This window comes from Homo sapiens, chromosome 16, assembly GCF_000001405.40.
Source record: "Homo sapiens chromosome 16, GRCh38.p14 Primary Assembly".
Classification (NCBI taxonomy): Eukaryota; Metazoa; Chordata; class Mammalia; order Primates; family Hominidae; genus Homo; species Homo sapiens.
Genome location: NC_000016.10, coordinates 63,140,590 through 63,165,267, shown reverse-complemented (window position 1 = coordinate 63,165,267; position 24,678 = coordinate 63,140,590). Strand labels below are relative to the sequence as shown.

The window sequence follows — 24,678 nt, the reverse complement described above, 5'->3', positions numbered from 1 at the left end:
TAAAGGAGGTATCTATAAATTCTGGATGGACTTAGAAGAGCAACAATGAATAGGGCTGTACCACTGGATTACGTACAGTAGAGAGCACAAAGTTTTGCCACTTACTTGTATAAAAGGAAAAAAATGCTCAACATTACTAATTATCCAAGAAATACAAATCAAGACCACAATAAGATATCATCTTACATCAGTCAGAATGGCTATTACTAAAAAGTCAAAAAACAACGGATGTTGGCATGAATGCAGAGAAAAGGGAACACTTACACCCTGTTGGTAGGTATGTAAATTAGTACAACCTCTACAGACAACAGTGTTGAAATTTCTCACAGAACTAAAAGTAGAATTAGCATTTGACCCAGAAATTCCAGTACTGGGTATCTATCACCCCAAAAAGAAAGTATTATATTAAAAATCATCTGAACTCATATGTTTATTCAAGTACCATTCACAACAGCAAAGTCATGGAATCATGCTATGTGTCCATCGACAGGTGATTAAATAAAGAAAATGTTGTATATATACAGCATGAAATACTACGCAGCCATAACAAAAGAACAAAATCATGTCCTTTGCAACAACATGGATGGAGCTGAAGGCCATTATCCTAAGTGAAATAACTCAAACAGAAAATCAAATACTATGATTCCACTTATAAGTGGGAGCTAAACAATGGGCACAAAGGACATAAAGATGAAAACAATAGACACTGGGGACTCCAAAATGGGGAAGGTTGGGAGGAGGATGAAGATTTAAAAAAAATTGCCTATTGATTAGAATGGTCACTACTTGGGTGAACGGTGCACTAGAAGCCCAAATCCCACCATTATGCAATATATCCATGTAACAAACCTGCACATGTACCCCTTAAATCAAAAAAAAAATTTTTTAAGAAGGGGAAAAGCAGAGGAGCCAGTTAAAGGAATTTGGAGAGGTAGTTGGATGGATAGAAAAGAGGGTCAGTGAAGAACCACAAAACCCAGAAGGAAATAAGTGAGGGAATATATATCTCGACATCTCTCCTTCTATCTAAGATCTACTGCTGGTGCCTCCGCTGACCTGGAAGTCAGAGGTCAAGAAATAATTATGATATACTCCCAAAAGGGGTTGAGATGGGTTGGAAGTGAATATGGGGCAGCAGTTGATACATGTCCAACAGAGAGGAGAAGAGAACACATTCAGAGGAAGGTAAGGATTTGGGTCTAAAAATGCACCTAAGCTCCAGATATGGAGCTGATGAAAACTCCAATCTCTATCACTTTTATATTACTTAATGGTACTTTCCTACTCATTTTACATGTTTAGCAAAATTGTTTATTCAAAGTTATAAAACATGTGAGTGGAGAAATTTAACTTAAGGGAATATTGGAAAATTATTGTCCGATAGTCAATGGCATGCACACCACTTCCATTTATTTATGAACATATATTGAATGCCTGCTGTGCATATGTGGTATTGCTCTAGACATTAAGTGGGAAAAAAATACAATTTCTTTCTTCAAAGGGCTATAAGTCCAGATGAAAAAGATAAGTAAATCAATAATTACAATACACTATGGCAAATGTATTGCAAAAAGCACAAAAAGAATGACAATATTTTGCAAACATTATGTCACTTAATCATCACTACTTCCTAATAAGGGTGATTTTTTTTTTTATATTTCACAAGTAAGTTAAATGACTCTTAAAGAAGTTAAGTAAGTTATTCATGACCTGCCTTATTAATGTCACAGTCATTCTGACCTCAAAGTCCATGGTCAAATTCCTGTCATAAAAATATCTCCCTTTGGCCGGGCACAGTGGCTCACACCTGTAATCCCAGCACTTCGGGAGGCCAAGGTGGGCAGATCACCCTGAGGTCAGGAGTTCGAGACAAGCCTGGCCAACATGGCAAAATTCCCTCTCTATGAAAAATACAAAAATTAGCTGGGCACGGTGGGACATGCCTGTAATCCCAGCTACTCGCGGGGCTGAGGCAGGAGAATTGCTTGAACGTGGGAGGTGGAGGCTGCAGTGACCTGAGATCATGCCACTGCATTCCAGGATGGGCAACAGAGTGAGACTCTGTCTCAAAATAATAATAATAATAATAATAATAATAATAATAATAATAAACCTCCCTTTGTGTCAGACAACAAAGGTAAATATTTTGCCAATAACCAGAAAGCTGAGATAAACTGTGGTTGGGGATAGAGACAATGTTATAGTTCTTAAACAGGCTATAATGTTTTCCCCATTATGTAATTTATTGTGCTTTAATACTATGATAAGTTACTGACATTTTCTGAAAAACAGGTATGATATCCAATCTAATTCAGGTTTCACTAAAGATATATGCACATATGTTCTGTCCTGCTGAAATAGTTTCATAGCCCACTGCCTATGATCAGTCCTCATATTAGAAGTTATTTATGTCCTGGCACATCATATATTATCCACTATGACCATATGACTATATATAATCCTCAGCTCTTAGCTCTGTACACCCAAATCTTTCATCTACGAACCTCCACTTCCACTAAACAAAATAAAATCATGAATATAACTCTTTATAAAGATAATTTTCTCCCATCAAATATGCGTGAGTACTTCATAGCTGAGTAGTGTAGAAAATGTTAAGCCCACATTATGAAATAGAGTAAATAGAACCTGGAAAATTGTCAGTTTTTAGTGTGTCTCTGTTTACTCAACCATGAGATCATATTAATGTTAATCTTTAAAACCTTCTATAATATAACAATAGAGAGCCGCTATGATGTCGTTACTCTGGTAGAACCTATTTGAGTTAATGCTACTTGAGTTTTGTTATAATTTTACAAATCATAAGTAACTTTACTGCAGGAGAAAAATATTAGACAAGAAAGAAGGAAAGAAGGAAAGAAGAAAAAAGAAAGAAAGAAAAAGAGGGAGGGAGGGAAGGAAGGAAGGAAGGAAAGAAAGAAAGAGAGAAAGAAAGATATCTAGCACCTACTATGTGCCAGAAGATACTATTGTCAGAATTATATATTGGAAATTATTTAGAATAAAAGCAATGCTCCTACCATTTTTTGTTTTTTTCTGCATTACCTAAATAACTAATCCAGTTTCCTTTTCACCTTGCCATATGGATAAGCCCTCAGAAAAGAATAGATTGTCAAAGAGAATAAAATGTTTATATTTTTCCTTGGGATATCCATCTCCATTTAATGTAGAATTTCTTATTCTATTTTCTAGCATAGTTCTTATTTTCATATTTGAGAATTCCATGAGATTATAATATTCTGTCTTCTTTTTTGTACTAGACATTCAGTGTGAGTTTCTTTACCAAATAGCAATGATAGCTTTTAAGACTATTAAAATTTGATGTTATGCCCAGTGTTTTACTAATTGGCTTTTTAAATTGTTATTTTATTTTAAATATGATTTTTATTCTTTATTGAAATCTGAACTCTTTGCTTCTGATTTTAGTCATTAATGATGGGAATAAAAAGACTTGAATAACTGTACAGCATTAGTAATTAATTAGTACCACCTACAGTTTTAACACCAATTTCATATTAAATATATATCTGAACTTGGTGATCTATGTTTCTCTAATTTGTTAATGCTATGGTCTGAATGATTGTGTCCCATTCAAATTTGTATATGAATTCTAATCACGAATATGTTGGTATTAAGAGGTGGGATTTCTGGAAAGTGACTCTTAAAAGGTGCCAATCCCATTCACAAGGGCAACCATCATGAAAGGGATCTGTGCCCTTATAAAAGAGGCATAAGGGAGTTTGTTTGTTCCTTCTGCCAGGTAAGGACCCATTGAAGGTGTCATCTGTAAAGCAGAGAATCGTCACCAGACACTAAATCTGCTGGCAACTTGATCTCTGACTTCCCAGCTCCAGAACTGGGAGCTGGGAAGTCCAAGCTCAAATAATAAATTTTTTGAGGCCTAATTCAAACAATGAATTTCTGTTGTTAATAAATTACCCAGTTTAAGGTATTTTATCATAACAGCCTGCAGGGACTAAGCAAATTACCATTAATGAAAGTTACACAAATAATGCTGGGTGATTGGCTTCTGAGCTCCATGGGATAGTATAATATAGTTGAAAGGATGGGTGAAAAAAAGATAGAAAGCTCTGTAGAAAAGTGTGCTTGAAGAAAAGCCAAAACAAGGAGGAGAAAAACGCATTTGAGAAACATTCATTGCTCAACCACCAATTGTAAATTACCGTTTAGACACTGCAAAATTTGATCAAAATATTAGAATTTAAGTCAAATTCTACATAAATGAATTAATGGCTTTTCTTATCAAAAGTTCCCTTTCCATAGCACTTATGTTTTGGGGAGAGAATGGGAAATATGAGAATTCCCCGAGAAGGGATAAGAAACTAAAATCAGAAATTATATTATTTTAATACGAACAAAATCAAACTCAATATAAAATAACAACAACAAAAACAACTAAAGCTGTATTTATTTATTTATTTATTGTTAGGTTTCTATAACAGCTAATTTTTATTCATTTTCCACGTCACTATACCCACAATTCTACTGAAGATACAAAAATAACTATAACTCAGCCATGCCACTAAATAATGTATTTTTTGCTTGTTTATTTAGAGGTAAATATGTACACAAAAGCCAGGTGAATTAAAGACCTACAACATAATAGGATTAGCGTCAAGTGTTACTGGGTTCAAAGAAGTGAGATCGTTGTAAAACAACATAGGAAAATTCCTAGGGAAATTGCTGTTCTGTGTGCAGTTTCATAACAATTCTAAAACAACAACAGACACATGTTGAGCATTACTTTATGTGGTAGACAGTGTTTCGTGTTCCCATTTGATAGATTAGAATACTGAGTCATAGAGAGGTCAAATAACTGGCTCAAGAAAAATGAGCTTAGAGTTACTTTACTTGGGGCCAAAACAGTGACAAAATTAGTTACAGGTGATGGCTGTAATGTACAGACTGCTTGCATAGCTATTGGCTATCATCTAGAGCAAAGACATCATGCTGGAAATAGTGAGATATAAACTTAAATACATACAGATGAGGACTTTGAACAATAGCCAAAGAACTAAAATTCAATATGGAATTAGTAATTTAGAACAATCAATAGAGACACATGAGTTGGAAGAGTTTGAGTGGTGACTGATTTTCCCTCAGGGAACCCTGCAGTAAGCTGATTTTGTTAAGTATCTAATTTTAAAATGTGGCAATGAGAACTGAGACTAACAGGTAGAACTGTGACTCAACTCAACTGAGTTGAGACTAACAGGTAGACTCAGAAAAATGTGTTAATTGAAAATGTGGATAGAGGAATAAAAGCATATGCAGAATAATGAGCCTGAGACAAGAATGGAAAGAAAAACATTGGCTAAGCATCTATTATGGACTGAGAACTATGATTATTAATTAAATCATAATTTCTTTAATTTATACTTCTCACAAAGGCTCTGTAAAAACTATTAATATTTCTAATCAATAAATTAAAACTAATATGACTCAGAGAATAACCTTCACAAGTTTGCACAGCTGAGATGTGGGAGAGTTTGATTTCCTCAAGACTAGCCCTCTGTTACTCTAACGTTAATTCCTATTCCCCTGGCATCCCTCCTGAGACATTGCAAGATGATATTGGATTAATTAAAATCATAAGAATGTGCCTAAAGTGTCACGAGTAAGGCAACAAAATGAGTTTTCTGATGTACCCTCAACTAAAGAGAAAGTTTATCAGAGCAGAGAATATCCTCAGCATTCTCTGTAATTTACATTTCATCAAATCAGCTTTAATTACAATATAACGTGCTCTCATTGATTGACTAATCTTCACTTTATACTTTCTGCCCTTACTTCATCTTGTTCTTATTTCTGTAATACTATTTGAATAGTTTCCAGATTGGACCTGAAAACATTCTATGTGGGAAGTTCTGGCTAGGACATTCATCTTAACATTTCTTCCCCTTATGGAAATGCAGATTCTGTCTTGTGCAACAAACTAATTAAAGTCCCTTCGCAACGCAATATACAAACGGCGCATAAATATTTAATGGCCTGGTTTAGCATTTTTATTAGATTCTATGATACATCAAACTATACACTGTTTAAGAGCTGAATCTAAATCATACAGTGTTTCTGAAAACCCCATCATACATGATGTATTTCACCAATAAAATTTAAAGAAAACATTTAGGCTATACTGAGAATAAACTATTATACTTTACTTGTTTTATGACTTGAACTTGTGCATTTACCAATAACACATTATGCTTTTATTAGTAGTAAGTTGTAGTGGATGAGCCATACATGATATAAGATTACCCAAGGATTATCCTACATAGTATGGCCAGTCCTGCCCCGTGCCTGTAGTATTCAATATTTTGGACATTACCTCTTCAAAAGCTTCATCTCATATATCTCAACTATCTCTACCTATTGGCCTTCCCATTGCCAATGCTCTCTTAAGATCCAGTTTTTCCTACATCTAATTTTATCTTTTCCAGACTTCAAGTCTTTCAAGTTTGTTTTCATGATTTCCAGATGGCCTCTGCTGGTACACACATCCATGGACCCACAACTTCTCAGCAATGTCTCACAACCACTGTAAGCACCTAAGTTTTGCCATTGCCTTGGGCTTATCATACCACTGACTCTGTACTTTCAGACCAACCTCCAGTTCTATGAGCAGTCTTCAATCTACCCGAGTGTTTGAAACCTGTCCGTTTTCTGTGGTTTATAACAGAATACCTAAAACTGAGTAATTTATAAAGAAAAGGAGTTTATTTCTTATTGTTGTGGAGACTGAAAAGTTCAGAGTCGAGGAATCACAATGCATCAGGGCCTTCTTGCCGGTTGGATGTTCTGCAGTGTTCCGAGGGACACGAGGTATCACACAGAAGGGGGTTGATCATGCTAGCATGCTAGCCTAGATCTCTCTCTTCTTATAAAGTCACCAGTACCTCTCCCATGATAACACATTGATCTACTAACCCGCTAATCCATTAATCCATCAATGAGTGCAGAACCCTTATTATCTAATCTTCTGTTAAAAGCCTCACCTCTGAATACTGCCCAATTAGAGGTTAAATTTCAACATGAGCTTTAGATGGGACAAATATTTATACTATGACATTTCACCCCCACCTGCCCCTGAAACTCAAGTCTTTCTCACATACAAATACATTCATTCTATCCCCATAGCCCCAAAGTCGTAACTCCTTCCAACACCAACTCAAAAGTCCAAATTTCAAGAGCGTAGACATTGGATTTTAAGATGTCAGCATAATCTTCTTTGATTCAATGTTATGAAGTATCCTCTCTACATCGGTGGGGGGGATTGTGCCTCCAGTGCCTCTGACAGCCCCACTCCTGTGGTTTTGCTGGGCTCAGAAACCCCAGCTCTCCCAGTTGTTGATAGCTTTGTGGCGGTCCCGGCTGGGGACTCTGTTGCAGCTTCAAATCCATATTTCTGCTCAGCATTGCTGTAGCAAAGCCTCTCTGTGACAGCTCTACCCTAGTGACAAGTATCTGCCTGGGTCCCTCAGGCTTTTGACAAAATCCCTTGAAATCTGGGTGGAAGCTGTCAGTCCTCCACAGCTCTTGCTTTCTGTAAGCCTGCAAATTAGTATCACATGGAAGTCTTCAAGGCTTACAGCTTGTATCTCTCTAAATGACAAGTCAAGCCACACCTGGGGACACATTTGCCACAGCTGAAGTGGCCCAGGAGCACCGCATTCAAACTCAGGGAGGAGAGACCTGAGGCGTCCTGGGAGCCTGTGGAGGGGGCCCCAGGTCTATCCCCTAAACCCATCTGCCCTCCTAGGCCTCTGGACCTGTGATGGTAGGGGATGCCTTGAAGAGCTCTGAAATGACTTTTTTTTTTCCATTCTCTTGATGATCCCCTTCTTTCCCTACTAATTTCTTTGGCAAAAGATTGCGGGGCTACACCTTTGGTTTGCTCTCTCAAATACACTTTGCTTTTCACATGGTCAGGCTGAAAGTTTTCCAAATCTTTCTGCTCTGCTTCCCTTTTAATTGTAAATTCTGTCTTTTAATTGTTCCTTTGTTTCCAAATCTCATAAGTGGTAAAAAGAAACCATGAAGCTTCTTCTGTATTTTGCTGGGAAATTTCTTCTGTCAAATAACCGCATTCATCACTTTCAGTTTGGCCTTCCACAAAGCCCTCAAACGTAAGTACAGTTCATTCAGCCCACTTCTTCGTGAATTTATAATAAGGAAGACCTTTACCCCAGTTTCTAGCACCTTGTCCTCCAGTTCCATCTGAAACCTTGTCAGAATGACCTTTACTGTTCATATTTATATCAGCATTCTGGTCTGGACCACTAACCACTTGCTAAGGAGTTCCCAACCTTCCCTAGTCTTCTTGTATCCGAAGCCCTCATCAGACTCTAGGTTTTTTTTCTAGCCTGCTCCTCCAGATTCTTCCAGTTTCTGCCCATTACCCAGCTGCTTGCCCTTTTCAGGTATTCAAGAGCAACAACCCAGTGCTCAGTGCCCATTTTCTGATAGTCTGTTTTCTGTTGCTTATCACAGAGTCCCTAGAACTGGGTTATTCATAAAGAAAATAAATGTATTTCTTACAGTTGTAAAGGCTGAGAAGTCCAAGTTGAGAGGCCACATCTGGTGAGAGACTTCTTGCTGGTGAGGATTCCCACAGGGCACAGGGTATCACATGGTGAGGGAGCTGGGCATGCCTATTTGCCAGCTCAAATCTCTCTTCCTCTTCTTATAAAGCCATTGGCTTCCTCTCCAAGGATACTCCATTAATCCCGTCACCCGTTAATCCACTAATCCAAGAATAAATTAATCCAATCATGAGCACCTTCATGATCCAATCCCCTCTTACAGGCTGTAAGTCTTGATGCTGCCACATTGGAGGTTAAATTTCAACATGAGTCTTTTTGTTTGTTAGTTTTGAGACAGTGTCTCACTTTGTCACCCAGGCTGGAGTGCAATGGCACCGTCTTGGCTCACTGCAACTTTTTCCCCCAGGGCTCAAGCGATTTTTCTGCATCAACCTCCTAAGCAGCTGGGACTACATGCACGTACCACCACGCATGGCTATTTCTTGAATTTTTAGTAGAGACAGGGTTTCACCATGTTGATGAAGCTGGTCTCAAACTCCTGACCTCAAGTGATCCTCCAGCTTTGGCCTCCCAAATTGCTGGGATTACAGGCAGGAGCCACCATGCCCAGCCAAAATTTCAACATGAGTTTTAAAGGGAGCAAATATTCAAATCATAGCAAAACCTTTGTCAAGTAGTTTAGATGTGGCCCAGACATAATTTGTATGAAATGTATTAACAGGGAGGTTGAATCAAAATCAGGCACTTTTAAAAATGCTTCATCTTTAATATTCTTGTAGCTCAAATTGTAGTTTTACCTTCAATCCTAATACAACTGTGTTGATAACTGGTTATTAAAATGGTAAATGAATGTAATAGTATGTGCTATTTAAGTAATTATTAATCTCAAGGTTACCTGCATATGTAAAAGTACATGTGACCATTTTGACACTACCCAAGAGCCTAATAGCAAGTGGAGAACAACTGGGAAAAGGTGCTAAGAGTGTGATGACCTTTAGAATACAGTTTTCCAAAAGCGGGAAAAATAAATACCCAGGTCTAACACTAACGTTTCTGATGTTACTGTTCTAATTGCATTTCTGTTACTAGAGTTGGAAACTTGTCAGGTTAGGGGCATGAGAAGAGGCGTTTTCAGATATCTTCAGCATTATACAAGAAGAAATCACCGGTCCTTTGAGTGTATAAATGGTAAAACTTAGACCATGGGTGGGTATCAGGAAGACTGAATTTGTAATGTTATGAGAATACGTTTCTGTGTTGTTATTTTTTGTTTTCTCTATTTTTTATTGTCTATTTATTTCTGCTCTTACCATTTATTTCCTTTCTTCTACTTACTTTAGATTTAATTTGCTCATTTATTTCTAGCTTCGTAAAGTAGAAAATTAGATCATTGATTTTAAACATTTCTCCTTTTTTTACTGTGAGCATTTGAAGGTCTAAATTTCCCTCTAATCACTATTTAGCTACACAAATCATAATGTATCCTAGTTTCATTACCATTCTACCCAAGATATTTCCTAATTTCTCATTATTTCTTCTTTGACCCATGATTTATTTAGAAATGTGCCCTTTGCAAAAATGTTATTATAGATTTCTAGTCAAATTCAATTTTGATCAGACAGCATATTCCTATAATTGTAATATCTCAGTATTTGCTGAGACTTATATAGCCCAACATAAAGACAATTTGCTTATTATTACATTGCATTTTAAAAAATGTACATGCTGTATTGTTTCAGTGAAATACTGAGTAGGTAAACATGGTTGACATTGTTTATCTTTACTGATTTTCTTTTCTCTAATTGTGCTACAGTTTGAATATTTGTGTCTCCTCCAAATTCATTTTGAAACTTAATACCCAGTACAACAATAATAAGAGGCAGGGCCTTTAAAAAGTGATTAGGTCAGAAGGGCTCCCCCATCATGGATGAGATTAGTGCTTTATCAAAGGGCTGGAGAGAACTAGCTAGGGTATTTCGCCCTTCCATCTCTTCCACCATGTGAGCTCACAGCAAGAGGCATCATCTTGGACATGAAGTGCAGTCCTTACCAGGTATGGAAACAGCTAGAATCTTGACCCTGGACTTCCTAGCCACTAGAACTGTGAGAAAATAAATGTCTGTTCTTTATAAATCACCCAGTCTCAGGTAATTTGTTATAACAGCAGACACTAAGATAATTTGTTCCACCAGTTATGGAGAAAGGAATGTTTACATCTCCATGTTTGACTATGGACTTATCTATTGAAACATTTAGTCCTGTTAGCTTTCCCTTCATGTGTTGTTTGGTTATTCTGCATCTACACTTTCATGAGTATTTTGTTTTCCTGGCAAATTTAAGGATGAAATCTTCAATTTCATCATAAAAAAATGTTTCTCATTATCTCAGGTTATGTGCATTTTCTTGAAATCTACTTTCCCTGAATTAATATAGATGTCACGTTTGTGTGTGTCTAATGCTTTTTGTTTGCAATAAGCTATATATATAGCAATGGGATATATATATATATATATATATATATCTCTTCCTTTTTCTTTTACTTTTATTTCAACTTTCTCTTTTTTTTTTTTTTTTTTTTTTTGAGACAGAGTTTCTCTCTTGTTACCCAGGCTGGAGTGTAACGGTGCGATCTCCGGCTCACTGCAACCTCCGCCTCCCAGGCTCAAGTGATTCTCCTGACTCAGCCTCCCAGGTAGCTGGGATTACAGGCACCTGCCATCATGCCCAGCTAATTTTTTGTATTTTTAGTACAGACAAGGTTTCACCATGTTGGCCAGGCTGGTCTTGAACTCCTGACCTTAGGTGATCCACCTGTCTCAGCCTCCCAAAGTGCTGGGATTACAGATGTGAGCCACCGTGCCAGGCCTCTTTTATTTCAACAGGGGATACATGTGCAGATTTGTCACATGGAAATATGGCATGACAGTAGTGAATAGTTTTTTTCAATCCACCCACCCACACCATCTAGTAGTCCACAGTGTCTGTTGTTTCCATATTTATGTCCATGTGTGCTCGGTTCTTAGTTCCTATGTATAAGTGAGAACATGCAGTAGTTGGTTTTCTGTTCCTGCATTAATTTGCTTAGGATAATAGCCTCCAGCTCCTTCCATGTTGCTGCTCTCAAGCTTATATATAAAATGCATATCATCTGGATGGCATCTTGTTTCATAGCTGAGGCTTGATTTCTTTCTTATCCAATCTAAAGATCTCTACTTAAATGGATTATTTATAATATTTGGTTTATTTGTGTGTTTCTCATGTTTTTTTTTCTTTTAATTCCTCTATTGGCTCTTTAATTCTGCTTCGTTTAGTTATTTTTATAGTAGTTCTGGAGATTGCAATATGTATCTTTTATTACTTTTAAAAAATATATTACTTCATATCAAATGTAAGAGCCTTTTTTATTATTATTATTATACTTTAAGTTTTAGGGTACATGTGCACAATGTGCAGGTTAGTTACATATGTACACATGTGACATGCTGGTGCGCTACACCCACTAACTTGTCATCTAGCATTAGGTACATCTCCCAATGCTATCCCTCCCCCCTCCCCCCAACAGTCCCCAGAGTGTGATGTTCCCCTTCCTGTGTCCATCTGTTCCCATTGTTCAATTCCCACCTATGAGTGAGAATATGCAGTGTTTGTTTTTTTGTTCTTGGGATAGTTTACTGAGAATGATGATTTCCAATTTCATCCATGTCCCTACAAAGGACATGAACTCATCATTTTTTATGGCTGCATAGTATTCCATGGTGTATATGTGCCACATTTTCTTAATCCAGCCTATCATTGTTGGACATTTGGGTTGGTTCCAAGTCTTTGCTATTGTGAATAGAGCCACAATAAACATACCTGTGCATGTGTCTTTACAGCAGCATGATTTATAGTCCTTTGGGTATATACCCAGTAATGGGATGGCTGGGTCAAATGGTATTTCTAGTTCTAGATCCCAGAGGAATCGCCACACTGACTTCCACAATGGTTGAGCTAGTTTACAGTCCCACCTACAGTGTAAAAGTGTTCCTATTTCTCCACATCCTCTCCAGCACCTGTTGTTTCCTGACTTTTTAATGATTGCCATTCTAACTGGTGTGAGATGATATCTCATTGTGGTTTTGATTTGCATTTCTCTGATGGCCAGTGACGGTAAGCATTTTTTCATGTGTTTTTTGGCTGCATAAATGTCTTCTTTTGAGAAGTGTCTGTTCATGTCCTTTGCCTACTTTTTGATGGGGTTGTTTGTTTTTTTCTTATAAATTTGTTTGAGTTCATTGTAGATTCTGGATATTAGCCCTTTGTCAGATGAGTAGGTGGTGAAAATTTTCTCCCATTTTGTGGGTTGCCTGTTCACTCTGATGGTAGTTGCTTTTGCTGTGCAGAAGCTTCTTGAGTTTAATTAGATCCCATTTGTCAATTTTGGCTTTTGTTGCCATTGCTTTTGGTGTTTTAAACATGAAGTCCTTGTCCATGCCTATGTCCTGAATGGTAATGCCTAGGTTTTCTTCTAGGGTTTTTATGGTTTTAGGTCTAACGTTTAAGTCTTTAATCCATCTTGAATTGATTTTTGTATAAGGTGTAAGGAAGGGATCCAGTTTCAGCTTTCTACATATGGCTAGCCAGTTTTCCCAGCACCATTTATTAAATAGGGAATCCTTTCCCCATTGCTTGTTTTTCTCAGGTTTGTCAAAGATCAGATAGTTGTAGATATGCGGCGTTATTTCTGAGGGCTCTGTTCTGTTCCATTGATCTATATCTCTGTTTTGGTACCAGTACCGTGCTGTTTTGGTTACTGTAGCCTTGTAGTATAGTTTGAAGTCAGGTAGCGTGATGCCTCCAGCTTTGTTCTTTTGGCTTAGGATTGACTTGGCGATGCGGGCTCTTTTTTGGTTCCATATGAACTTTAAAGTAGTTTTTTCCAATTCTGTGAAGAAAGTCATTGGTAGCTTGATGGGGATGGCATTGAATCTATAAATTACCTTGGGCAGTATGGCCATTTTCACGATATTGATTCTTCCTATCCATGAGCATGGAATGTTCTTCCATTTGTTAGTATCCTCTTTAATTTCATTGAGCAGTGGTTTGTAGTTCTCCTTGAAGAGGTCCTTCACATCCCTTGTAAGGTGGATTCCTAGGTATTTTATTCTCTTTGAAGCAATTGTGAATGGGAGTTCACTCATGATTTGGCTCTCTGTTTGTCTGTTATTGGTGTATAAGAATGCTTGTGATTTTTGTACATTGATTTTGTATCCTGAGACTTTGCTGAAGTTGCTTATCAGCTTAAGGAGATTTTGGGCTGAGACAATGGGGTTTTCTAGATAAACAATCATGTCGTCTACAACAGGGACAATTTGACTTCCTCTTTTCCTAATTGAATACCCTTTATTTCCTTCTCCTGCCTAATTGCCCTGGCCAGAACTTCCAACACTATGTTGAATAGGAGTGGTGAGAGAGGGCATCCCTGTCTTGTGCCCAGTTTTCAAAGGGAATGCTTCCAGTTTTTGCCCATTCAGTATGATATTGGCTGTGGGTTTGTCATAGATAGCTCTAATTATTTTGAGATACGTCCCATCAATACCTAATTTATTGAGAGTTTTTAGCATGAAGGTTGTCGAATTTTGTCAAAGGCCTTCTCTGCATCTATTGAGATAATCATGTGGTTTTTGTCTTTTGTTCTGTTTATATGCTGGATTACATTTATTGATTTGTGTATATTGAACCAGCCTTGCATCCCAGGGATGAAGCCCACTTGATCATGGTGGATAAGCTTTTTGATGTGCTGCTGGATTCAGTTTGCCAGTATTTTATTGAGGATTTTTGCATCAATGTCATCAAGGATATTGGTCTAAAATTCTCTTTTTTGGTTGTGTCTCTGCCCGGCTTTGGTATCAGGATGATGCTGGCCTCATAAAATGAGCTAGGGAGGATTCCCTCTTTTTCTATTGATTGGAATAGTTTCAGAAGGAATGGCACCAGTTCCTCCTTGTACCTCTGGTAGAATTCGGCTGTGAATCCATCTGGTCCTGGACTCTTTTTGGTTGGTAAGCTATTGATTATTGCCACAATTTCAGATCCTGTTATTGGTCTATTCAGAGATTCAACTTCTTCCTGCTTTAGTCTTGGGAGAGTGTATGTGTCCAGGAATTCATCCATTTCTTCTAGATTTTCTAGTTTATTTGCATAGAGGTGTTTGTAGTATTCTCTGATGGTAGTTTGTATTTCTGTGGGATCGGTGGTGATATCCCCTTTATCATTTTTTATTGCGTCCATTTGATTCTTCTTTTTGTCTTTATTAGTCTTGCTAGCAGTCTATCAATTTTGTTGATCCTTTCAAAAAACCGGCTCCTGGATTCATTAATTTTTTGAAGGGTTTTTTGTGTCTCTATTTCCTTCAGTTCTGCTCTGATTTTAGTTATTTCTTGCCTTCTGCTAGCTTTTGAATGTGTTGGCTCTTGCTTTTCTAGTTCTTTTAATTGTGATGTTAGGCTGTCAATTTTGGATCTTTCCTGCTTTCTCTTGTGGGCATTTAGTGCTATAAATTTCCCTCTACACACTGCTTTGAATGTGTCCCAGAGATTCTGGTATGTTGTATCTTTGTTCTCATTGGTTTCAAAGAACATCTTTATTTCTGCCTTCATTTTGTTATGTACCCAGTAGTCATTCAGGAGCAGGTTGTTCAGTTTCCATGTAGTTGAGCGGTTTTGAGTGAGTTTCTTAACCCTGAGTTCTAGTTTGATTGCACTGTGGTCTGAGAGATAGTTTGTTATAATTTCTGTTCTTTTACATTTGCTGAGGAGAGCTTTACTTCCAAGTATGTGGTCAATTTTGGAATAGGTGTGGTGTGGTGCTGAAAAAAATGTATATTCTGTTGATTTGGGGTGGAGAGTTCTGTAGATGTCTATTAGGTCCGCTTGGTGCAGAGCTGAGTTCAATTCCTGGGTATCCTTGTTGACTTTCTGTCTCGTTGATCTGTCTAATGTTGACAGTGGGGTGTTAAAGCCTCCCATTATTAATGTGTGGGAGTCTAAGTCTCTTTGTAGGTCACTCAGGACTTGCTTTATGAATCTGGGTGCTCCTGTATTGGGTGCATATATATTTAGGATAGTTAGCTCTTCTTGTTGAATTGATCCCTTTACCATTATGTAATGGCCTTCTTTGTCTCTTTTGATCTTTGTTGGTTTAAAGTCTGTTTTATCAGAGACTAGGATTGCAACCCCTGCCTTTTTTTGTTTTCCATTTGCTCGGTAGATCTTCCTCCATCCTTTTATTTTGAGCCTATGTGTGTCTCTGCACGTGAGATGGGTTTCCTGAATACAGCACACTGATGGGTCTTGACTCTTTATCCAATTTGCCAGTCTGTGTCTTTTAATTGGAGCATTCAGTCCATTTACATTGAAAGTTAATATTGTTATGTGTGAATTTGAACCTGTCATTATGATGTTAGCTGGTTATTTTGCTTGTTAGCTGATGCAGTTTCTTCCTAGTCTCAATGGTCTTTACATTTTGGCATGATTTTGCAGCAGCTGGTACTGGTTGTTCCTTTCCATGTTTAGTGCTTCCTTCAGGAGCTCTTTTAGGGCAGGCCTGGTGGTGACAAAATCTCTCAGCATTTGCTTGTCTGTAAAGGATTTTATTTCTCCTTCACTTATGAAGCTTAGTTTGGCTGGATATGAAATTCTGGGTTGAAAATTCTTTTCTTTAAGAATGTTGAATATTGGCCCCCACTCTCTTCTGGCTTGTAGAGTTTCTGCCGAGAGATGCTCTGTTAGTCTGATGGGCTTCCCTTTGTGGGTAACCTGACCTTTCTCTCTGGCTGCCCTTAACATTTTTTCCTTCATTTCAACTTTGGTGAATCTGACAATTATGTGTCTTGGAGTTGCTCTTCTCGAGGAGTATCTTTGTGGCGTTCTCTGTATTTCCTGAATCTGAATGTTGGCCTGCCTTGCTAGACTGGGGAAGTTCTCCTGGATAATATCCTGCAGATTGTTTTCCAACTTGGTTCCATTCTCCCCATCACTTTCAGGTACACCAATCAGACATAGATTTGGTCTTTTCACATAGTCCCATATTTCTTGGAGGCTTTGTTCATTTCTTTTTATTCTTTTTTCTCTAAACTTCCCTTCTCACTTCATTTCATTCATTTCATCTTCCATCGCTGATACCCTTTCTTCCAGTTGATCGTATCGGCTCCTGAGGCTTCTGCATTCTTCACATAGTTCTCGAGCCTTGGCTTTCAGCTCCATCAGCTCCTTTAAGCACTTCTCTGTATTGGTTATTCTAGTTATACATTCGTCTAAATTTTTTTCAAAGTTTTTAACTTCTTTGCCTTTGGTTTGAATTTCCTCCTGTAGCTTGTAGTTTGATCGTCTGAAGCCTTCTCTCAACTTGTCAAAGTCATTCTCCATCCAGCTTTGTTCCATTGCTGGTGAGGAACTGCGATCCTTTGGAGGAGGAGAAGTGCTCTGCTTTTTAGAGTTTCCAGTTTTTCTGCTCTGTTTTTTCCCCATCTTTGTGGTTTTATCTACTTTTGCTCTTTGATGATGGTGATGTACAGATGGGTTTTTGGTGTGGATGTCCTTTCTGTTTGTTAGTTTTCCTTCTAACAGACAGGACCCTCAGCTGCAAGTCTGTTGGAGTTTGCTAGAGGTCCACTCCAGACCCTGTTTTCCTGGGCATCAGCAGCAGTGTCTGCAGAACAGTGTTTTTTCATGAACCGTGAATGCTGCTGTCTGATCATTCCTCTGGAAGTTTTGTCTCAGAGGAGTACCCGGCCGTGTGAGGTGTCAGTCTGCCCCTACTGGGGGGTACCTGCCAGTTAGGCTGCTCAGGGGTCAGGGGTCAGGGACCCACTTGAGGAGGCAGTCTGCCCCTTCTCAGATCTCCAGCTGCGTGCTGGGAGAACCACTGCTCTCTTCAAAGCTCAGATGGAAATGCAGAAATCACCCGTCTTCTGCGTCACTCACGCTGGGAGCTGTAGATCCAGGCCAGGGGCAGAGGCTCACGCTTATAATCCTAGGACTTTGGGAGGCCGAGGCAGGAGATTGCTTGACCAGCTAGGAGTTTGAGACCGGCCTGGGCAACACGGCAAAACCCTGTCTCTACAAAAGATCCAAAAAAATTAGCTGGGTGTGGTGGCGCATGCCTGTGGTCCCAGCTACTTGGGGGCTGAGGTAGGAGGATTGCTTGAGCCAAGCAGGTAGAGGCTGCTGTGAGCTGAGATTGTGCCACTGCACTCCAGCCTGGGTGACAAAGTGAGACCCTGTAGCCGAAATATAAATAAATAAAAATAAAATAGAAAATAAATTCATGATTTATTTTGGATTAACTTTTGTATAATGTGTAAGGTTTTAAAGTTTAGATTTTGTCCATTGATGTCCAATTGTTCCTACACTATTTATTAATTCATTAAAAATATATTATTTCTAAAATTTATCTTTGTCTTGCTTTTCATCATTTTGGCTATAATATGTCTAAATGTATTCTTCTTGTATTTATCCTGTTTAGTGTTTCCTGTGCTCTTTTGATTTTTAAGTTTATGGGGTTCTTTTTTACCAAATTTGAGAAATGTAGTGCCTTTATTTCTTCTAATCTTTTGTCTGCTTTATTGTCTTTTTCCCTCTAGCACAGGCATAATTCAGGTGCTATGCAAGGATTTGAGTGGTATTTATCTTCATATTTTTGACTCCCACATCTGTGGATTCAGACTTAATAAAGTTTTTAAAGATGAAGTTATTGTTTAGTTGTTAAATTATTATTTAATAATATAGTTATTCGCACTAATTTTCCAGTTTCTCTGGCAACTCCAAACTTTATCTCTAAGTCTGAAATCCAGGAATGCTGTGATTTTTCTGCTTGAGTTCAAGGCATCCAGAACAATTTGGACTACACTCAGGCAAGAAGCATGTAAGTGGAATTATCAGACAGTGCATTTTCTTGTTTTCAAAGTTTGACAAACCTCCAATCTTTTCCTTCTTTTTTCCATTATCTGGTGTCTTAAGTGTGTGTGTGTGTGTGTGTGTGTGTGTGTGTGTATCTGCAAGATGAATAGTTTGCTACAGACTATTCTGACATTATTTGAAAAAGAATTCTAAGGATTTGGGGATCTAATGTAAGAAAGATGGGTTTGGAGAGTTTTAAGAAAGAGTGTGATATGACTGAATTAATGTGAGGAGAATATTTGGTTGGGTGGAAGATTGGACAGGAAGGGTCAATTGGAGAAAGCCAGAGAAGAGATTGTGATGACTTGCATATTTCCTAGAATAGTGGACATGGAAAAGAATTTTGGTTATATTCTTTACTCCTGGACTTTGGGCATGGCGTTTTATCAACTGACTGTAAAATGAGGCAGTGATACCTAAAAAGCCACTAGTTTGTTTCAGAGATTAAATAAACCTTGTACCACCTTAGCCATTTCCTGGAACACAATAATGCTCTACAGTATTTTATTATTTGTTATGAGTGTATTACATTCCAAATACTGAACTTTGCATGCATAACTACCCATGTATTCTTGGGTTTATACATAGAGATACAAACTAATCAAAGTATCAAGTAATACATAAAAATTCTAATGAAATAATGGATATTTAGTGATATGATTACATAAGAGCATATAATAAGGTGACAATCTAGTAGTGGGAACAATATATAAAATATAAAATTAACTCTAGTTATAACCAATAATAGTTATAACCAATAATAATAAAAGAGTGTTCAGTTTGCTGACCTGCAACAAATATCAATGATATTAAGAAGGGTAACTATTCCTGATGTTAGAGGGGAAGGCAAGGGTTAAAAAATGTCTCAGAGAGAGAGAGTTGGTGGCTCTATGGCAATACAGGCTTATTGCAAAAACTTGCAGAGGTGGGGGACCAGCTTAATGCCAGAGCCCACTGCTGCTTACAGGCTGGAGCAATTTATAGGCCTGGGTGGAAGGGGTCTGGGTGGTATGGCTTGCTGCCTGGGAGGATATTGATAAGATGCTCCTATGATCAGATGGTTTGGCCCTTTTTCCAGTGGGATGTGATAAGATGTTCCTTGGACCTGTGTCAAGCAGGATATGATGGGATGTTCTTTCAGCTGGGGCTTTGCCCAGCAGGGTATGATAAGGATGTTCCTGGCAGGGTGCTGTGGCTCACACCTGTAATCCCAACACTTAGGAAGGCTGAGGCAGGTGGACCATCTGAGGTCAGGAGTTGGAGACCAGCTTGGCCAACATGGTGAAATCCCATGTTTACTAAAAGTACAAAAATTAGCCGGCTATGGTGGCAGGCACCTGTAATCCCAGAGACTTGGGAGACTGAGGCAGGAGGGTTGCTTGAACCTGGGAGGCGGAGGTTGCAATGAGCTGAGATCGTGCCATTGCACTCCAGCCTGGGTGACAAGAGAGAAACTCCATCTCAAAACAAATAAAAATAAAAATAAAAAAGGATGTTCCTGTGGCTGTGATCAGGTTGTTAGGAAAGATGTTTCTCACAGCCCAAACCCCTGTGGAATGTTTCACTCTGACCAGGGTCTGTGAAATGGTGGGGGCCTTACAAAATGGTGCAGCTTGGACTAACACCTGAGAAAGTGAAAAGTAAGATAAGGTCTAAATAAAATTAAGATAACTTATTTAGGTGAAAAGTTTAGTTATGATTTTTTCAGAAAGACAAAAACAGTATGTGAGAAGGCCCCCTGAGAAAGAGAGCATGGAACAGGTGTACAAATCGGAAAAACAAAAAAGTATGGCTGAAGCAGAGTAAGACAATGATCAAACTGCACCTGTCGCTGGAAAAATGTGGAAGAGTCTGACTATTTGGGGCTTTGCGTGCCATGGGATAGTTTGGCTTTCATCTTAAGAATACAGAGAAACTCTTGGTGTGTTTTAGGAGAAAAACGCAAGTCAACACCAATGTAGAGAACATAATGGAAGGAAACACCATTGGATGAGGCAAGTCTCCAGAAGTGTAGGATAATGATGATGATGGTGACAGCGATGGTGGTTGTGGTGCTTCTGCTTCTGGTTGTATTTTGTTACAAGAGATTTGAAAAGGAAAAATACTAGAGAGAATATTACCTAATTTTTGTGTATCTGAGAGACACAATTTCTGCATGTCTGCTCCTGTGTGGTAGAAAAAATAGGCAAAGAAACACGATAAAATTAGTCTATTTCATACTTCATTAGTGCCAATAGTAGCTGGCTCTTCCTAAGCATTTACTGATCCTTACAGGTAAGCAAGAGTTGCTTGGAGTTAATTAGTAGGGTTTCAGTAGCATTTGAAATGTCTGAACTTAAATACTTAAAAAGGGGTTGGAATACAATTTTATTTTAACATAACATTATCTCAGCAATGACTTTGTGATAACATAATGCAGATTAGATAGAATGTTTTCTCTTCACTCAATCAGATTGAAGTTCTATGTATCAATAAAGAGAGAGAGCAATTGTACAGAGATAATCATTATAGCAGTCCCCAGATGCATCTGGGAAACTATTAAGAACCAAAGAGGAGGCTAATGAAAAGATCTCCTGTGGTTATAGAAATTACATGCTTTGGTCTTTCTCTCCCGAAACATCCTTTGTTAGTTTCTTCTGAAAGATCTAGCCAAGGCATTATTTATTAAACTGACTCCATTTCCCCAATGTGCTCTACCTTTGAGAGCCAAGAATAGGACTGTCCAAAGAAACATATAATTAATTTTCTTCATCATTTCTTTACTAGTGTGCATATTAGTTAAGGACTTGACTAGCCCTCTAATCTCCTCTTTTCTTTTTTTTTTTTTTTTTGAGACGGAGTTTTGCTCTTGTTGCCCAGGCTGGAGTGCAATGACGCAGTCTTGGCTCACCGCAACCTCCGCCCCCTGGTTTCAAGCGATTCTCCTGCCTCAGCCTCCGAAGTACTTGGGATTTCAGTCATGCACCACCACACCTGGCTAATTTTGTATTTTTTTTAGTAGAGACAGGGTTTCTCCATGTTGGTCAGGCTAGTCCCGAACTCCCGACCTCAGTTGATCCGCCTGCCTCAGCTTTCCAAAGTGCTGGGATTACAGGCGTGAGCCCCTGCAGCCGGCAAATCTCCTCTGTCTTTACACACACATATACACACACACACACACGTTGCACTTACAAATAATATAATATCAACATATTATGAAAGCCATAATTTCCAAAATGGGTATGTTTCCAGATGTCTCTGAAGTATTACATTAACTATACTAATTTTTCTTTAGGATTGTTTATATGGAAGCTGATTGATGCTTCCTGACACATGTCAACTCCACCTAAATGGAAAAATGGCATTATTCTACAGAAGAATAGATAGCACAATTAGAGTAATCACCTTTTCAGGCAGAAGCACCTTGTCTTTGTAGAAAAGTATTGAACAGTTCCAACTATATAAAATTCCATTAATGCAATCCTATTAAAAACGTCGAAGAACTGATGTGAACCAAAGAAAGCTCAATTAACGGAGCTGAGTGTTTGGTTTCATGTTCGCAATCCTCATGAGTAATCTTGGGAAAATCAATGGTCAAAATGAATATCTGGAGAATAGAGAAGCATCTATTTTTGTTCCTGATAGCCTCAACTAAAAAATAGGTGAAATGTGTGCATGTCAGAGTGGGCGGATGGGTTGATATGTAGGTGTGTGTGTGTGTGAACATGCTGAATTTTGACCATTGCTAAAACGATCACACATATAGCTTACTGTAAACATGATCAATGACTCATCAACTATATACAATTTACTATACGGAAAAGTTAAAGGTCATATAAGGTACATGCTGCTGACTTCAGACTATAAACTGGTCCTGATGCCTTGATATTTATCATAATTTTTTTAAATTTTTGAAAAAATGAAGGCAGATACTTTTTAGCTGGTTAGGTTCATGATAAAAAATACAAGTTCTTTATGTATTTTTAAATGAATTATTTTAGGGTATGTCTATTATTTGTGTTTGTGTGTGCATAAGTCAGTTCGGATTTCCCCATGATTCTTGTCTTAGTCAGTTTGGACTGCTGTAACAAATTATCTTAAACTGAGTAATTTAAAAACAACAGAAATTTATTGCCCACACTTTTGGAGGCTGGAAGGTCCAAGGTCAAGATGTCAGTAAATTCAGGGTTGGTGAGGGCTTGTTCCTTATAGTGGCAGTTTCTATGTGTCCATGTATTATTAAAGGGGCAAACAAGCTCACTCAAGCTTCTTTTACAAGGCCACTAATCCCATTCACTTGGCCTACCCTTGTGACCTAATTACTTCCTTAAAGGTGTCACTTCTCAATACTATTGCATCGGTGATTAGGTTTCACTATAGGAATTTGGAAAGAATGCAGACATTCAGATCGTAACAATTATATTTCAACAAAGTCACCTACAAGGCAAATAAGCCTTCTCCTGAAAATGATTTCAGGATGCCTTTGTCCAGGAATGCTGATGACTGAACATGGGGAGACTGTCTCTGAGTACCATCAACATTGATTATCTCCAAGAAAGGGGAGTGACAATCAAGCACTAGAACCATGTTAAAAACGAAGTCAACCCTTATTCTACCAGCTAGCATACTTCCAATATCTTTCACTTTAAGGTAGATAAAGAGTGTGAGAATTGTACTTATAGCTGAATAAATTAGGAAGAAAAGACATGAACCTATGGCACAAAAATAGGAAAACTCAATACATAAATGTTTAGTTAACATGTTAAATAATAGTTTTAGGTAAATAGTAAGTCTTAGGTAAGAGGGGAGGGGTTTAAATAACAGCTGATGGGTTTACAAAGACATACACAAAAAGCTGGGTCTTAAAATGAAAGGCAGAAGATCTTTCTATGGTGGGAAGTGTCAGAGATGAGGAGACTTGGCTTGATGGGATATGGATGATAAGTTAGCAGTCAAGAGATGGTATCTGAGGTTGCAAAGAGTCATAAGCTTTGAAAAGCAGGATATGGTAAGATAAAATAATAACAGCCTTACTTATAAATAAATAAATGAATGAATAAATAAATAAATAAATTCAGAAGATTACTTCCAAATGACTTTCTCCTTCAGCACATCCTTATAATGCTTGCTACTGAAACTCTCTTTCAATATTCACAAGGCAAAGTTATGGTGGGAAAAGGAAATAGGCTTAATGGCTGACAGTTTTGAGTTCAAATTCCAACTCTCCCTCCTTATGAGTTGTGTGACATTGGGCATACTACATAACTTTTATAAACTTTAGTTCCACTACTAAAAGGGTGATGATAGTGCCTAAAGAAGAGGCATTATAGCTTGTAGTGATGAGCACATATTCTGTAAGCAACTTTCTTGGGCTCAAACTCTGGTTCCACACTTATAACCTCTATCTCTTTGGTAAAGCTTCTTAACGCTGTGTCGTCTTTTCTTTGTCTCTAAATTAGATGATCACATAGAGATATTGTCAGTATTGAATGCATTATTTCTGATAATAGTGCCTGGACAACAGTGCCTACAAACTGTTTATTAATAATGTGTATAATATTGTTTAATTACACCATGGGTGGTTTGAAAAATAAAATGATATGTGCTTGTAATGTGTCAAGCACAGTATGCAGGGCATAGTAAAGATGCAGCAATACCACTTAATCTCATTCCTTTTTTCCTGCTAAGAAATATCAAGGCAGATTCCTCCATGTGTCATTCTCTACAGGGAATCTCATTGGCCTCCCGTTATTCTTCTCATAGTCACACTCCCTATAGAAAGAATTCCTACCAACAGTCATAACTAACCTTCCCACAAATGCCAAGAATGAACTTTCTCACTTAATTTGACCACTCAAGTCCTATATAAGTGGAGGTTGAAAATCAATTCCTAAAAGAGGCCATTCTTAGCAGGAACCTATTGAAACAACAACTCCCATTAAGCCATTGATCTGAACTGTAGACACAACTTATTTCACACATTTAAGTACATTTCATAAATGCACTCACAGAAACCATTTGTATTCTCTGTCCTATCTTTCCACTTATATCAAAACTGTGTTATTTTCGCTACATAGAAGAAAAATGTATAGCAACATTTTCATTATATTCTTCTGCACATGTACCTCTAGAATCTACAGTAAAGAAAAAAAAATAAGCAGACCATCACTTTGAAGATT

At 37.9% G+C, this 24,678-nt stretch overlaps 1 long non-coding RNA gene across 2 annotated transcripts in view; it reads left to right on the top strand.

Moving 5' to 3' along the window:
* LOC105371308 (uncharacterized) overlaps positions 1–24,678 on the top strand; it is a 512,336-nt gene that overhangs the window by 452,779 nt on the left and 34,879 nt on the right. The window contains exon 5 of one of the 2 annotated variants that reach the window (XR_007065221.1): positions 18,371–19,769. The exons of the other annotated variant lie outside the window; for it this stretch is intronic. This is a non-coding gene — a long non-coding RNA (uncharacterized LOC105371308). Of the gene's footprint in view, positions 1–18,370; positions 19,770–24,678 lie in introns of those variants that run through there. 2 annotated transcript variants of the gene reach the window in all.